The sequence below is a fragment of the Homo sapiens genome, chromosome 6 (assembly GCF_000001405.40).
Source record: "Homo sapiens chromosome 6, GRCh38.p14 Primary Assembly".
Classification (NCBI taxonomy): domain Eukaryota; kingdom Metazoa; phylum Chordata; class Mammalia; order Primates; family Hominidae; genus Homo; species Homo sapiens.
Window position 1 is genome coordinate 6,197,335 of NC_000006.12, and position 16,249 is coordinate 6,213,583.

A 16,249-nucleotide genomic window follows, 5' to 3' on the forward strand; every position below is an offset into this window, starting at 1 on the left:
ACACAAGCCCAGAAAGGTTAAACTTCCCATCACACCCAATGCTCCAAGAGATCAAGAAGTGACGGCCAGGCACAGTGGCTCATGCCTGTAATCCCAGCAATTTGGGAGGCCAAGGCAGGTGAGTCACAAGGTCAAGACATCAAGACCAGCCTTGCCAACATGATGAAACCCTGTCTCTACTAAAAATACAAAAATTAGCTGGGTGTGGTGGCGGGTGCCTGTAGTTCCAGCTACTTGGGAGGCTGAGGCAGGAGAATCGCTTGAATCTGGGATATGGAGGTTACAGTGAGCTGAGATTGTGCCACTGCACTTCAGCCTGGTGACAGAGGGAGACTCCATCTCAAAAAAAAAAAAAAGTGACCCCAAATCCTGTGCATATGCTATCTACAGATTATTAGAATGGATTAAGCCAAATCTGAGGGCTCCTGGAGATATCCTGGGGCTCTAGACTTGGGTTTTCTGGGCAGATTCATTCTCATTGGCATCCCTCAGGACACTCACATGGCTGGATGTCTCTTTCCCTCTGCTAAGAGCAGCTTCAAGGCCACCCAAAGATATTTGAATCAGTGCATTGAACAGTTTTAATCTTAACCATTTTCTGCTGACTAACGAAACAACTTACTAGGTACCGACAGGGTGGGGAAGAAAAGTTAACCAAAACTGAAATATTTATTTTGAACTTTTTAATATAGTTCCTATTTAGAAAAAGCATATTCCTTTGTAGCAATTAAGCAAAAAATACTTGTGTTTGTGGTCTTAGACTATTACTGTAGAAACTACAACAATTATGCCTGACTATAATTCTCTACAATTTCCATCTCGTGTCCAACAAGAAGAATACGTTGTCAGGGTGAATCTCTCTTTACCCTTTATTAAAAGTGCTAAGGGTCATGGAAAACTTCTCAGAAATTTGAATATGACCCTGGAAGCAAGAGCATGGAATAAAATGCCATCATGAATTGTATTATTATGTCCTTGAAAAGACCTGAAATTATATGACAGTACAGAATCAAATGAGAGCACATTAACCCCTCAGCACTATAGAAAATGTTCATATAGTAATAAAGAAAGATTTAATAATGTGGTGAGGTAGTTACAGCAGTCTTTGTTTATGACACTGATGAATTTCAGGTTCAACTACCACGGGTTCCGTGCCTAGACGCCCTTCAATGTCAGCTGTTTGCCCATGCTCCCATCTTTCTCTGAGTGCAGCCCATTTTTGATTGGTTCAAGAGATATTAATTTCACTATGTACCCACTACACACCAGGCACCTTGGTAGGTGCTGGAGACTCAGAGATGATCAAAACATAGATTCTTACCCATAAAGGGTAATCTTCTAGGAGAAATGACAAACCTGTAAACCAATTATCAAAACTGTCATAGGTTTGCTGTGAGACTTAAATAAGCTAATACATGTATTTCGAACACAGACTGGCATGTGTTAAGTGCTCAAAAATGGTAACTCTCAGGCTTTGAAAAATAATTAATTTAAATGATCCCTGGTAAAACGGGTGTTGATTTGGGGTGCCATGGAGTCTCAGTGGAGCAAAGTCTCCAGGTATTTGGGAAGTGATGTTTGAGCTGAGGCTCGAAAGATAAATGGGAATTTAGGAGGTCAAGAAAAGGAGGAAGAACAAAGTTACAGCGGCATGAAATAGCCATCATGGTTTGTTTGTGGAACTGTCTGCTGTGTGTTGTGGCTGGAGCATAGCGTGTTTGAACATTCAGGTTCATAGGAGAACGGTGATGGCAGGCAATGCACGAAACTAACAAATACATATAACACTTCCTTAGTGCGAAGTGGTGTTCTAAAACCCTCATGGATGTTAACACATCTGATGTCCCTAGCACCCTATAAGAACAGTACTATTGGTCGGGCGCAGTGGCTCACGCCTGTAATCCCAGCACTTTGGGAGGCCGAGGCGGGCAGATCACGAGGTCAGGAGATCGAGACCATCCTGGTTAACACGGTGAAACCCCGTCTCTACTAAAAATACAAAAAAATTAGCTGGGCGTGGTGGCGGGCACCTGTAGTCCCAGCTACTCGGGAGGCTGAGGCAGGAGAATGGCGTGAACCCGGGAGGCGGAGCTTGCAGTAGTGAGCTGAGATCACCCCACCGCACTCCAGCCTGGTCGACAGAGCGAGACTCCATCTCAGAAAAAAAAAAAAAGAACAGTACTATTATAATTACCCCCAGTTTACAGGGGAGGAAGCTGAAACCCAGGAAGGTTAAGAACCTTGCTGAGGTCACAGCTAGTTAGTGATAGAGCTCTGAAATCCACACTCTTCAACACTGACCTATGATATAGGTAAGGATAAGATTGTGAAATCCTTTGATATCAAATTAAACATTCATGCTTTATTCTTAGGCTATAAAAAGCCATTGGAATAATTTAAGAAGAAGATCTAAATTTGCAAATCTCTGTTCGTGGAAGATGGATGGAGAGGCAAGGCTGGAGATTGAGCTGAGTCCTCCCCGGCTGTCCCCCACCCCTGAAGAACTGCAATAGTGGACCAGAAAGGCATTCAGGTGGCCAGCACCATGGAGAGGGAGAGAAGCCATTGGGGATACAACCCACAGGTTTAGGGAGATGTGAGGGACTCGGATGAGTTGGGGAAGACTTTTGCCTGTCCAAGTAGTATGATGGTTTTGTTTACCAAGACTGTGAATAAAAAAGGAAGAGAAGAAAGTCTGTGTTGGGACTGGTGGTGATGGGTGGATGACCAGCCCAATTCTGGGCAGGATGAGCTTGAGTGCCTGTGGGAAACCCAGGAGGTGAGGCCTAAGAGGCATTTTTGTCTACACTTGTGATGCTCTGGATTGGATGAAGCGGAGGAGGAGGTTGCGGGAGTATTGGTGGGTGGTGGAGGAGGGCTGGGCAAAGCCAGCTGACAAATGAATGAGGAGGGAAGAAAGAGGTAGCTTCTTCCTTAAGAGTGACTTAGAGGCTGGCTACAGTGGCTCACACCAGTAATCCCAGCATTTTAGGAGGCCGAGGCAGGAGAACTGCTTGAGCCCAGGAGTTTGAGGCCATCCTGGGCAACATGGCGAAACCCTGTCTCTATTAAAGTTAAAGAAGTTAGCTGACCTGTAGTCTCAGCTACTTGAGGGGCTGAGTGGGAGGATCACTTGAGCCCGGGAGATCAAGGCTGCAGTGAGCCATGATTGCACCACTGCACTCCATCCTGGAAGACAGAGTGAGACCCTGTCTAAAAAAAAAAAAAAAAAAGTGATCTAGGTTGTAAGACAGAAGAAAAGATAGGGCAGGGGCTAGCATGTAATGCAATGCAGGGAAGTCTGTTTCGGTTATTTTCAAATTAAAAGAGACTGAGGCATGTTCATGGAGGAATGGAGGAAGGTAGAGACAGTGGGAATATAAAAGGGAGCTGAAATACCAAGGTTGCAAGAGGATGAGGCTGAGAGCAACACCCTGGACAGATGTGGGAAGCAAGGCAGGGTCTGCAGGGAGAGAAGGGTACAGATGTGGATTAGGGTGAAGGTGTGGAGGTCTCTGAGCAGGAACATGAGGTCAGTTCCCACCTGAGAGCCTCCATCTTTGCTTGGAAGCTGGAAGGGAGGTCACTGTGTATGTTAGACAATGACTCTGCTAGCCTCTCTCCAGAGCAGTGAAGGTTGCCCCATCAGGCAGAAGGACCCAGGGAAAAACAGCAATAAAACATTTGCAACCCTGAATGGACGCCGTCCTGCTTCCTATACGACCCGAAGTGTTTAGTGACCCCCTGGCTTTCACTGCTACACCATCACCCTAGATTAATAGGCTCCAGAATAGCCTTATTTAAATTCAAATATCCTTGGCAAGGTTAGCCTGGAACAAGATAAATATGCTTTGCACTTCAGATCTCAAGTAAAGACTTTTCTTTGAGGATAATATTTCTTTTCAAATGACCAGGACCCGGGGAAAAGTTTCTTTTCTCTCACTCTGACATCTAATTAGTTACACATGATCTCTTCTAGTTTCACTCATGGCTGAGACGTTATCTGTGTATTTAGGGTGGGAGTTTCATAACAGGGTCAGGAACTTGCAGGCAGTGGGTGAGGTGGGGAGGAAGCAAATGCTCCCAGTAGGGCTGGGCCTCCATCAATGGGTGGAAAGCTAATGGCTCAGCTCCCAGACAGCCCATGAAGAGAACGAGAGGGTGCTACCTCCACAGCCATGGGGATCTCTTTCACCATGCAATCCTCTCTACTCAGGAATGACTAGGGGAATTGTGTCCTAAGCCACCCGTGCCTCAAGAGTTTCCATTTGGCTGACATTACACAATTCTATTTAAGCATGCTCAGTTTTTTATATCCCAAGTTCCTCCATGAAAGAGGCTAATGTTTACAGACATTTATTTTCCTGTTTTTTGTTTTGTTTTGTTTTGTTTTCTTGAGACAGGGTCTCATGTTGCCCAGGCTGGTATTGAACTCCTGGCCTCAAGCCATCCTCCTGCCCCAGTCTTTTAAAGTGCTGGGATTACAGGCGTGAGCATTTTTCTCAGATATTTAGCATTTTTGCTGCAATTCATACGTGTCAGAGGATCTAATTTTCAATATACAGTAGTGTCATTTCCCTTTGTGTTGGAAAACTTCCTTTAGCATATCTTTAATTTTTTAAATAGACACATAATAATTGTATAATTGTATATATTATAGGGTACAAAGTGATGATTTTACATATATATATAAAATCAAATCACATTGCAGGATAATTAAGTTAATAACATATCGATTACCTCCCATATTTATTTTTGTGGTGCAAACATTTGAAATTTACTCTCCTGGCAATTTTGAAATATATAGTATAGTATAATTAACTATAGCCAACATGTTGTATATTTGATCTCAAACACTTATTCCTTCCGTACAGACTTTTCCTAATTTCATCTACTGATTCTCCAGGTTGGAAAATACCAACTGATTCCTGAAATGCTACTTTTTATTCTAAAGCTTCTTTATCTAGATCCATAAGAGTTTTTCTGTTTTCATCTTGCAATTCCATCATGCATTTGTAGAGTGCATAAATCTACTTTGGGAGCTCTGTTGGTCTTATTCTTCTACACATCTCCAGCACTAGAGCAGGGCCCAGTCATTAGGAGGTGCTCAGTAAGTGTTGGCTAAATAAATCATGAGGACATCTAGCAAGGAAGTTCTTATTAAACCTTTGCTTGTTTGTTTCTCTTTAAGATTCATGGTTTTTTATGTTCTCGGAGCCTTCATTTGAAACTTAAGTTCTCACTATACAGTCAAAAGGTACCGTGTCCCTTTAAAGTAAAAAAATTCTAAATCTCCTTGTTGCCTCTTTCTATAGAAGCAGTATAGAAATCAAAATAAAGGCCTCATTTCATTGAGACTTGTTTAATCAAGATGAGAACAACCTTTGGGAGGATAACGATGGAGATGACAAGTGAAGAACACATCTCTGCTTTATGTTTCTTCCTGTGTGTTCCGTGCAGTGACAGCTAGTAATTTTTAGAACTCCTTTCAAGGATGCTAATAATTCAGCAGTATTGGTACAAAGGACTCAGAGAACCTTCACCAAAGGCAGTACTTCACTAGAACAGCAGCACCATCCCCTGCTGGGGGACCCTACATGGGACGTCATAGTTTATGTTGTGATTCAGTAAATCCATGTGCTTTGAATTTGTACACGGGAAATAATCATACAAATGCAAAGACAAGTGTGTTATGTAAGAATGTTCATCATGGTGTAAGAAAGGGAAAGTGGAAGCATGGAAGCAGCCTAACTGTCCAACATGTGATCAAGTATTTTGAAACAGAATAGAATGCTATTCAGCCATAAAAATGCAGATCTATATTGACTAGGCAAGAAAGACATCCATGGCATATTAGTGTTTCAAAATCACATGCAGAGCAGAATTTTAAATGACTCCCACTACCTTTTGCATAATTTTGTATAATTTTCTCCCCTGAGTGTAGGTGAAATCTATAAACAGAACAGGCTAGTACTCCTGTGACTATGTTGCTTTATGTGTCAAGGAGGATTTTGCAGAAGTAATTAAGTTTACTAATCTGTTGACTTTGAGTTAATTAAAAGGTAGATTATCAGGTGGGTCTGGCCTCATCAGATGAGCCTTTTAAGTCTGGGTCTAGAGATCAGAGACAGAGCAAGTCAGGGATTCAAAGCAGCAGAGACATTCTCCTGCTGGCTTCAAAGAAGATAGAAGCATCTATGAGTTCTACAGCTGCAAGGAACTGAATTCTTTCAAGAACCTCAATGAATTTGGAAGAGGACTCTGAGCATTAGATGGGACAACAGTCCCAGCCAACACTGATCGATTGCAGTTATCTGAGACCCTGAGCAGAGAGACCCAGTCAACCAGTGACCAAACTCCTGACCCACAGGAATTGTCTGATGATAAGTTGTGTTTTTTTAAGCTGTTACGTTGTGGTACTTTGGTACTTTGGTATGCAGCATTAAAAACATGCATACGACACACAAAGAGACATATTACAGAAGGGTTAAGGAAATGTTACAGATGTTCTGAGTAGTTAGAAAATAGATACTTCTTACTTTGGTATTTTTTCTGCAACATTTAAAATACTGCATAATAAACATGTATTAGGTTCCCTCCGAAACACTGAGGACTATTTATTTATTTATGTATTTATTTTACCAAAACCCAGTAGAGCACAGTAGTTCAAAATCTGTCTTGGTTCTGGCTAAGGTCATATCCAGAGGTATAGGAGCCTATGGGGTGGTGAAGAGCTGGACAGAGAACACAGCTGAGACCAACATGGGCTTCAGGGTGCTATGTGTTTGAAGAAAATAAAGTGGTTAATTTAAACAAGGAGTCCTTTACTGACCTTAACTTGGCTAACTAACTGCTTAAACAGTCCACAGGGTCATCTCATTTACAATCTATCTGTCCAGAAATGTTTCAGAGAAAAGGAGTTCTTAAAAGGGAAGAAAGAGATATGGGCTTGTAATTTTGTTTGTGCAGCTTTATTAGGGCTCAGGGGAGAGCACAAATAAGATCAAGAGAAAGCCCTGGAGGAGATGTCTTGGACCAACTTCAACTGTAAACCAAGGGTTTGAATTCTTTCATAGCAAAACTGGCAGGGGGTGAAAGAAAGGCACTGTCTATCTTGCAAATCATTTGTGTATTTGTAGCAGATGGGTGTAGCCCTACCTCTCTGGTTCTGCTAATACATTCCGAATACAGACAACAATATTGTTGACAATAATGACAGGACATCCTGGATTATTAAGCTCTGGCCATTTCAGGGGCAGTGGGGATAGGATGGGGTGGGAGTTGTTGGAAAGAAGTGGGAACAATTTGGTGGACTCTGAGGCTTGTCTAACAAGACATTTCAAAGTGGAAATGAAAGCCTGGACTTAGAAAAAAACTTGTTAGGAAATATAATGAAGGAAGATGACAGAAAGGAATTATTCAGAGGAAAGAGGCATGCTGCAGGAATCTTTGATGGAGCTGCGAGCATGACACTATTTCAGAATACAGCTATTCATTGTTTGAGCCTGTTGGAGTGCTGAAACCAGCAAGGGGCATTTGGATGTTAACTGGCGTCATGTCAAAGGCCAGCAGTCCAGTCAGGTGGAGACTAGGCCAGGGCCCCTGTCCTCTCTGAGGCTCAGCTGCTTCAGATCCCTCTGGCTGGGAGCCACCTGGGGAAGCCCTGGGTAGCCAGTCATGAATGGCCTCATTTGCATAGCAATGCTATATGGGAGATAAATGGAGGGCGCCATGGGCATCCCAGCTCAGTAAAGGATGCTGTTGTAGGAATCAACTGACCGCCAAGAAAAAAGAAGAAATGAATGTGTTTATTCTTACTTGTCCTGTGAAGGCAAGGGGTTTTGCAAGTCTCACTGAGAAGTCACGTGTAAATACAGTCTGATATAGCACAAGAGACCTCAATGGAGGGGGTTGCAGATGGCGGGGTGCACTTGGACAGGTGCTGTAGCTTCCACCATTAAACTATGAGGTGTATGTGTAGTAGGAGTGATAGTCAAAACCATTAATAAGTGCTCAGACACAGGCATGAACCAAATGGATGTTGCAACCCATCGGAAAGGACATCAACGCTAAATGCAGTTCTACCAGGGCATCCTGGCTAGATACCAGTCCAGATGTCCTCACTCACATACACACTACAGGAGTACTGAACAAATTTCCATCCACAAAGTCTTTAGGGAGTGAGTCCTTCCTTAGTCCTGAGAGTACAGCCTTTCCACTCTCTTCTTAAGCTTCCAAGAACAGATTTCTTGGATATTTATCAAGAGAATTGTAAAGCAGCTTTGTTAATAGCAATTTTTAGAAAATTAGGGGCTGATTATCCAGCTTTCTTTTTTTCTTCTCCTTTCATTTTTCCCCATGGTGTGATTACGTGTTTTATTATTTTTTTTTTAGTGTAGTACCTCCAAATGGAACAGGCAGGGAATGAAACCAAATTTGGCAAAAATAAAACACAAGTTATAAAACAAAACAAAACGAAAACAACAAAAATTAAAATTAAAAATTTTCAGAAAGTAGATGCCACCCCATCACACAGACCACGTTTGCCATCATTAGTTAGCAGAAAGCCCTTTCTGAGCACTTCTGGGTTCCCTTTGCTGGGTTCATTTTGAAAATGAAGCCCTACCCCCTTTTACCACTCTGGCATAGCAAGCTAGGAATTAATATCCTGACTGAACATGAAGAAAATATTGAATTTTGAGAGCATTTGTTTGTAAAAGTCTAATGTATAAAAAAGTTTATATAATAAATTCTGGACAAGTGTCTCCATAATTATTGAAAAGGGTTAAAAGAATTCCAACCAATAGACCCAGTAGGTACCAAAGTTACTGTTTTGCATTATAAACTATTTATGAATATGATATTCTACAGCTGATGGCTCTTATTTTTGTAACGTGTTCCTAGAGGTATTATTAATTACCAAAAGGAATTACATTACATTCAGTATAGCCTAGGCGGTGCATACTTTATTAGTTTCTAATTACTTTAAAACTAGTAACCTTCTAACGGTATATATGATGACTCTTGTAGGCAAAAATTATGATTAACCAGAACATGATTCCATTGCCATATGGAGTGTTTTCTATGTGGTTTATTAAATGATTCCCACTTTTTTTCCCTTTCTGCCTAATTTCCCAAGAAGTTATTACAATGACCTCTGACATTTTACCCCCAAACTCCCCTTGGTTTACTCTCAAGTGAGACTTGAGTGGAATGAGGGCTTCAGGCGCTCTTTGGAGACATTCCAGCAGCAGGAATGGATGGGTACCTGAGAGGAACGGGAGGAGAGTGTAGGGCAGTGATTTCCAACCTTCAAAGAGCAATGCCCCCTTCTTGTTTTTAAGCAAATATTTTTTACATTCCTTCATTAGGCTGAAACTAAATCCATAGATGGCTTTCTACATACATAATTTTCTAAAAGATCAATATCATGCCCCGTAATGTATGGGAGAAATGGAGAAATAAAAGGATATACATACAATAATATGTGTTTCAGCAGATATATGTCAGGAAGACTCTACTAGATGCCAAAAATATTCTTACAAAATGTAAAGCACCTTAGCAGTGTGGTAGGAAGCACTTGTGTAGTGGTTAAGAGTGGGCTCTGGGAAACACCTCCAGAGTGGCAGAGTAAGGACTACTGGAAATCTGCTCCTCCATAGAGCAATGAGAACACTTGCAAATATGATCACAGCTGACCTTTCCAGAACTCTGGAAGTGAAGCAAACAACAATCTGAGGGGCATTTATTCAAGGAAAAAAACAAACAAACATAAATCTCAGTAAGAAGAGTGACTTTGTGGAGTTTTAATTTGCCTTATTCTCACCCCACCTCCACAGTAGTCTTAAAAACCAGTAGCCTCAGTAGCTTTGCAAACTTGCAGCCTAGAAACCAATGAAGGAGAGAAAATGAGTTTTGAACACTCCGAAAGCTCTTTCTCTCCAAATTGCCACTGCTTAACTTGCCTGGCAGCTCTCTGAAAAGCTCCATTCTCAGGGCTTGTTTTTATTTGATCTGATTCACAGCTCATTCTGAATCAGCCCTATTCATATAATGTATAAAAATAAAATAGAAGCAAATGTTTAACATCATAATGCCTGAAGGGGCAATACCACTTGAGACTAAAAAAGGGCTATCCAAAACACTTTGAAAGAAAAAACAGGGAATAAGATGTCCATAGGAGGCTTTGAAAAACTCTGACATAGATAGCCACAAACATGTGCAGGGCTGTGAGCATGCCCAAAAGAAAAGCCCCAGGAAGGTCCTCATCTCTCATCTCTGGTTGATCTTGAGGCTCTGTCCACACAGGAAGTGAAGGCTAATGAAGAATTTTAAACTGCCTGCGGGTTAATTAAAGACTTTCCCCAACACACACACAACGCTACTTGGCTAAAGCTGGGGAGCTTTTGGCCCAAGGTATTTAAGGAAATCTCTGTCCAATTGTTATATGACCACTAAGCTAACTCAGCTCACTTCAGTGGCCATACATGACAAGAAAAACAGACTTCATAGAATTAGTCCAAGAAGGTCACTAAATAAACGAGCAGCAGCAGCAAAAACAACAACAACAGCAAACATCAACAATAGGTGCTAGAGAACAGGAAATCTGATTTTAAGAATTGCCACATTATATTATTTTAAATGTTCAGTTTTCAACAAAAATTATAAGACACAGAAAGGATCAGAAAAGTATAGCCCATACACAGGAAGCAGCCAAGAGAAATTGGTATTAAGAAAGCTAAGACATTGGACTTACAAGACAAAGATCTTAAATTAGCCATTATAAATATGTTCAAAGAACTGAAGGGAAACCATGAGAATTATATCTCATCAAATAGAGAATACGAATGAAAAGATAGAAATTATGAAAAGGAACCAAATAGAAATTCTGGAACTGAAAAGTACAATAACCAAAATGAAAAATTCACTAGTTTCAACAGTAGAGTTAAGCAGGCAGAAAGAAGAATCAATGAACTTGAAGGTAGGCCAATTGAAATTATCCAATTTGAATAACAGAAGCAAAAAACTAAAACAAAATCAAAGCCCCAGAAACAGGTGAGATGTTACTTATGCAGTTGATGAAGTATATTAACATTTTCCTAATGGGAGTCCCAGAAGAAGAGGAAAGAGAGCAAGTAGCAGAAAGAATATTTGAAGAAACGATAGCCAAAAATTTCCCAAATTCAATGAAAGATATTATTATGTACATTGAAAAAGTTCAAAAACTCCAAGTAGGATAAACTTAAGATATCTACACTTAGACACATCATATTCAAACTGTCAAAAGCTGAAGACAAATAGAGAATCTCTTTTTTACTTTTTTTCTTTTTCAAATCTCAGACCTGAGTGAAACAAAGAATCTTTAAGACAACATTAAAAAAATAATTTACCATGTACAAGAGATAATCAATAAGATGATTTTAGTTTTCTCTCTTATTCGCTCTCTTATTTTTCTCTCTTCTCCATTTCTATTTATACTTCATACATACATAAAAAGTTAACTCAAAATGAATCCCAGACCTAGATGTAAGATCTATGATTGTAAAACACTTAGAACAAAACAGAGGAGCAAATCTTTGTGACCTTGGATCAAGTTATGGTTTCTTAGATATGACACCAAATGTATAAGCATCCAAAGAAATAATTAAAAAGTTGGATTTTATAAAAATTAATTTCTTTAGTGCTTCAAAGAACACCATTAAGAAAGTGAAAAGAGAGCCCATGGATGGTAGAAAATATTTACAAATCACATATATGATAGAGAGCTTATATGCAGAACATATAAAGAATAGTTACAATTCAACAATACAAAAGTAGGTCAATTTTAAAATGGGACAAAAATATGAATAACCATTTTGCCAAAGAAGATATACACAGGGCCAAGAAAAACACAAAAAGATGTTCAACGTCATTGGTCATTAGAGAAATGAAAATTAATCCCACCATGAAATACCACTTCACACCCATTAGGATGGCTACAATAATAATTAAAAAAAAAAAAAAAACAGAAAATAAAAGTTATTTGCAAGAATATGAAGTTGGAACTTTTGTGTATTGCTAGTGGGAATACAGAATGGAGTAGCTGCTTTGGAAAACAGTTTGGCACTTCATCAAAAGAAATTAAACATAGAGTTACCATACAACCCAGAAATTCCACTCTAAATATATGCCCATGAGAAATAAAAAACATATGTTCACATAAAAACTTTTACCTGAATGTTCATTACAACATTATTCATGAAAGCCAAAAATGGAAACAACCCAAATGTACAACTGATGAATGGATAAATAAAACCTGGTTTATCCACACAATGAAATATCATTCATCAATGAAAGGGAATGAGGTACTGATACATGCTACAACACGGACGAACCTTGAACACGTTACGCTAAGTGAAGGAAGCCAGACACAAAAGGTCACATATTACATGACTCCACTTATAGGAAATGATCAGAACTGGCAAATCCATAGAGAGAGAAAGTAGATTCGAGGTTGCCAGAGTTGGAGAAATGGGGAGTGACTGCTAATAGGTATGGCAGAGGGGAGAGAAAATGTTCTGGAATCTGATGATAATGATGGTTATACAAGACCACAAATATACTAAAAATGGCCTAGTGCCGTGGCTCATGCCTGTAATCCCAGCACTCTGGGAGGCTGAGGCAGGAGAATCTCTTGAGGCCAGGAGTTCAAGAGCAGCCTGGGCAACATAGTGAGATCTTGTCTCTACAAAAAAAAAAAATTAAAAATTAGCCAGGTGTGGTGGGTGTGCCTGTAGTCCCAGCTACTAGGGAAGCTGAGATGGGAAGATTGCTTGAGCCTGGGAGGTCAAGGCTGCAGTGAGTCATGATCTTGCCATTGCAATCCAGCTTGGGTGAGAGACAACCTGTCTCAAAATAATAATAATAATACATAAATAAAAATATACTAAAAATTATTGAATTGTGTACTTTACTTTAAAGGAGTGAATTTTGTAAATTTTGTAGCATGTGATATATATATATATATATATATATTTCTTTTTTTTTTTTAGAGGCAGTCTTGCTCTGTCGCCCAGGCTGAAGTGCAGTGGCACGATCTCGGCTCACTGAAAGCTCCACCTCCCAGGTTCATGCCATTCTCCTGCCTCAGCCTCCAGAGTAGCTGGGACTACAGGCACCTGCCACAGTTAGCCTGCAATGTGGGACTACAGGCACCTGCCACAGTTAGCCTGCAATGCCTGGCTAATTTTTCTGTATTTTTAGTAGAGACGGGATTTTTACTGTGTTAGCCAGGATGGTCTTGATCTCCTGACCTTGTGATCCACCTGCCTCAGCCTCCTAAATTGCTGGGATTACAGGTGTGAGCCACCTCACCAGGCCGTGAAGCATATTTTAATAAGGATGTTAATTATTTTTATTTATTTATTTTTGAGACCAAGTCTCACTCTGTCACCCAGGCTAGAGGAATACAGTGGCATGATCTTGGCTTACTGCAACCTCTGTCTCCCAGGTTCAAGTGATTCTCCTGCCTCAGCCTCCCAAGTAGCGGGGATTACAGGCATGCACCACCACGCCCAGCTAATTTTTTTGTATTTTTAGTAGAGACAGGTTATCACCGTGTTGGTCAGGCTGTTCTCAAACTCCTGATCTCAAGTGATCCTCCTGCATCGGCCTCCCAAAGTGCTGGGATTATAGGTGTGAGCCACCACGCCCAGTCAATAAGGATGTCATTTTAAAAAGAGTGGGCTCTGGGGTCAGCCCCCTTGGGTTTGTAATTCAGGTTCTGCCACTTATTGGCTGGGACCTTGGTTAAGTTACCGTGCCACTAACAGTAATTACCTTAACATGCTGTTAAGAGGTAGAAGTAAATTAATACATGTCAGCACTTAAATCAGGGCATTGCAAAAAAAAGTATTTTTGTGAACATGAGCTACTCTTATTCTTTGAAGGTGGCAAATAATGTTTTTTCCAACACTATTGTGTGCCTTCAGTGTATATTCTCAGTCCTCTAATGCTAAGGCTCATGGTCTAACTCCAGGTGATTTTCCTAAAACCAACTTGGCCAGAAATATGGTTAACAAGAAAATGTTTGAAAATAAGCATCTCTGATAACTGTCCAGAATTGGCAACTGCAATGCATCATGGGATATTTTTACAAACCCTTAAGCATCTTTAAGCAATTTGGTCTACATTCTGAATTTTTCTTCTCTACTATTTTACTTGGAATTCGTTTTTAGATCATTCTGCTTTGCAGACAGTGATTAAAATTGAAGATAATTTTACAATATAAAAGTCCAACTAGATGAGTCATACACAGCATCTAAAATAATGTATAGAAGTGACAATAATTAGGGGGAGGAGCCAAGATGGCCGAATAGGAACAGCTCCAGTCTACAGCTCCCAGCGTGAGTGACACAGAAGACGGGTGATTTCTGCATTTCCATCTGAGGTACCGGGTTCATCTCACTAGGGAGTGCCAGACAGTGGGCGCAGGTTAGTGGGTGCGCGCACCATGCGCGAGCCAAAGCAGGGTGAGGCATTGCCTCACTCGGGAAGCGCAAGGGGTCAGGGAGTTCCCTTCCCGAGTCAAAGAAAGGGGTGACAGACAGCACCTGGAAAATCGGGTCACTCCCACCCAAATACTGCGCTTTTCTGACGGGCTTAAAAAACGGCACACCAGGAGATTATATCCCGCACCTGGCTCGGAGGGTCCTATGCCCACGGAGTCTCGCTGATTGCTAGCACAGCAGTCTGAGATCAAACAGCAAAGCAGCAGCAAGGCTGGCGGAGGGGCGCCCGCCATTGCCCAGGTTTGCTTAGGTAAACAAAGCGGCCAGGAAGCTCGAACTGGGTGGAGCCCACCACAGCTCAAGGAGGCCTGCCTGCCTCTGTAGGCTCCACCTCTGGGGGCAGGGCACAGACAAACAAAAAGACAGCAGTAACCTCTGCAGACTTAAATGTCCCTGTCTGACAGCTTTGAAGAGAGCAGTGGTTCTCCCAGCACACAGCTGGAGATCTGAGAAGGGGCAGACTGCCTCCTCAAGTGGGTCCCTGACCCCTGACCCCCAAGCAGCCTAACTGGGAGGCACCCCCCAGCAGGGGCACACTGACACCTCACACGGCCGGGTACTCCAACAGATCTGCAGCTGAGGGTCCTGTCTGTTAGAAGGAAAACTGACAAACAGAAAGGACATCCACACCAAAAACCCATCTGTACATCACCATCATCAAAGACCAAAAGTAGATAAAACCACAAAGATGGGGAAAAAACAGAGCAGAAAAACTGGAAACTCTAAAAAGCAGAGCGCCTCTCCTCCTCCAAAGGAATGCAGTTCCTCACCAGCAAAGGAACAAAGCTGGATGGAGAATAACTTTGACGAGCTGAGAGAAGAAGGCTTCAGACAATCAAATTGCTCCGAGCTACGGGAGGACATTCAAACCAAAGGCAAAGAAGTTGAAAACTTTGAAAAAAATTTAGAAGAATGTATAACTAGAATAACCAATACAGAGAAGTGCTTAAAGGAGCTGATGGAGCTGAAAAGCAAGGCTCGAGAACTAAGTGAAGAATGCAGAAGCCTCAGGAGCCGATGCGATCAACTGGAAGAAAGGGTATCAGCGATGGAAGATGAAATGAATGAAATGAAGTGAGAAGGGAAGTTTAGAGAAAAAAGAATAAAAAGAAACCAGAAAAGCCTCCAAGAAATATGGGACTATGTGAAAAGACCAAATCTACGTCTGATTGGTGTACCTGAAAGTGACGGGGAGAATGGAACCAAGTTGGAAAACACTCTGCAGGATACTATCCAGGAGAATTTCCCCAATCTAGCAAGGCAGGCCAACGTTCAGATTCAGGAAATACAGAGAACACCACAAAGATACTCCTCGAGACGAGCAACTCCAAGACACATAATTGTCAGATTCACCAAAGTTGAAATGAAGGAAAAAATGTTAAGGGCAGCCAGAGAGAAAGGTCGGGTTACCCTCAAAGGGAAGCCCATCAGACTAACAGCGGATCTCTCGGCAGAAACTCTACAAGCCAGAAGAGAGTGGGGGCCAATATTCAACATTCTTAAAGAAAGAATTTTCAACCCCGAATTTCATATCCAGCCAAACTAAGCTTCATAAGTGAAGGAGAAATAAAATACTTTACAGACAAGCAAATGCTGAGAGATTTTGTCACCACCAGGCCTGCCCTAAAAGAGCTCCTGAAGGAAGCGCTAAACATGGAAAGGAACAACCGGTACCAGCCGCTGCAAAATCATGCCAAAAT

At 41.3% G+C, this 16,249-nt stretch overlaps 1 protein-coding gene across 1 annotated transcript in view; it reads right to left on the reverse strand.

The window, feature by feature from the left end:
* F13A1 (coagulation factor XIII A chain) overlaps nucleotides 1-16,249 on the reverse strand; it is a 176,579-nt gene that overhangs the window by 53,251 nt on the left and 107,079 nt on the right. The window lies entirely within an intron of this gene.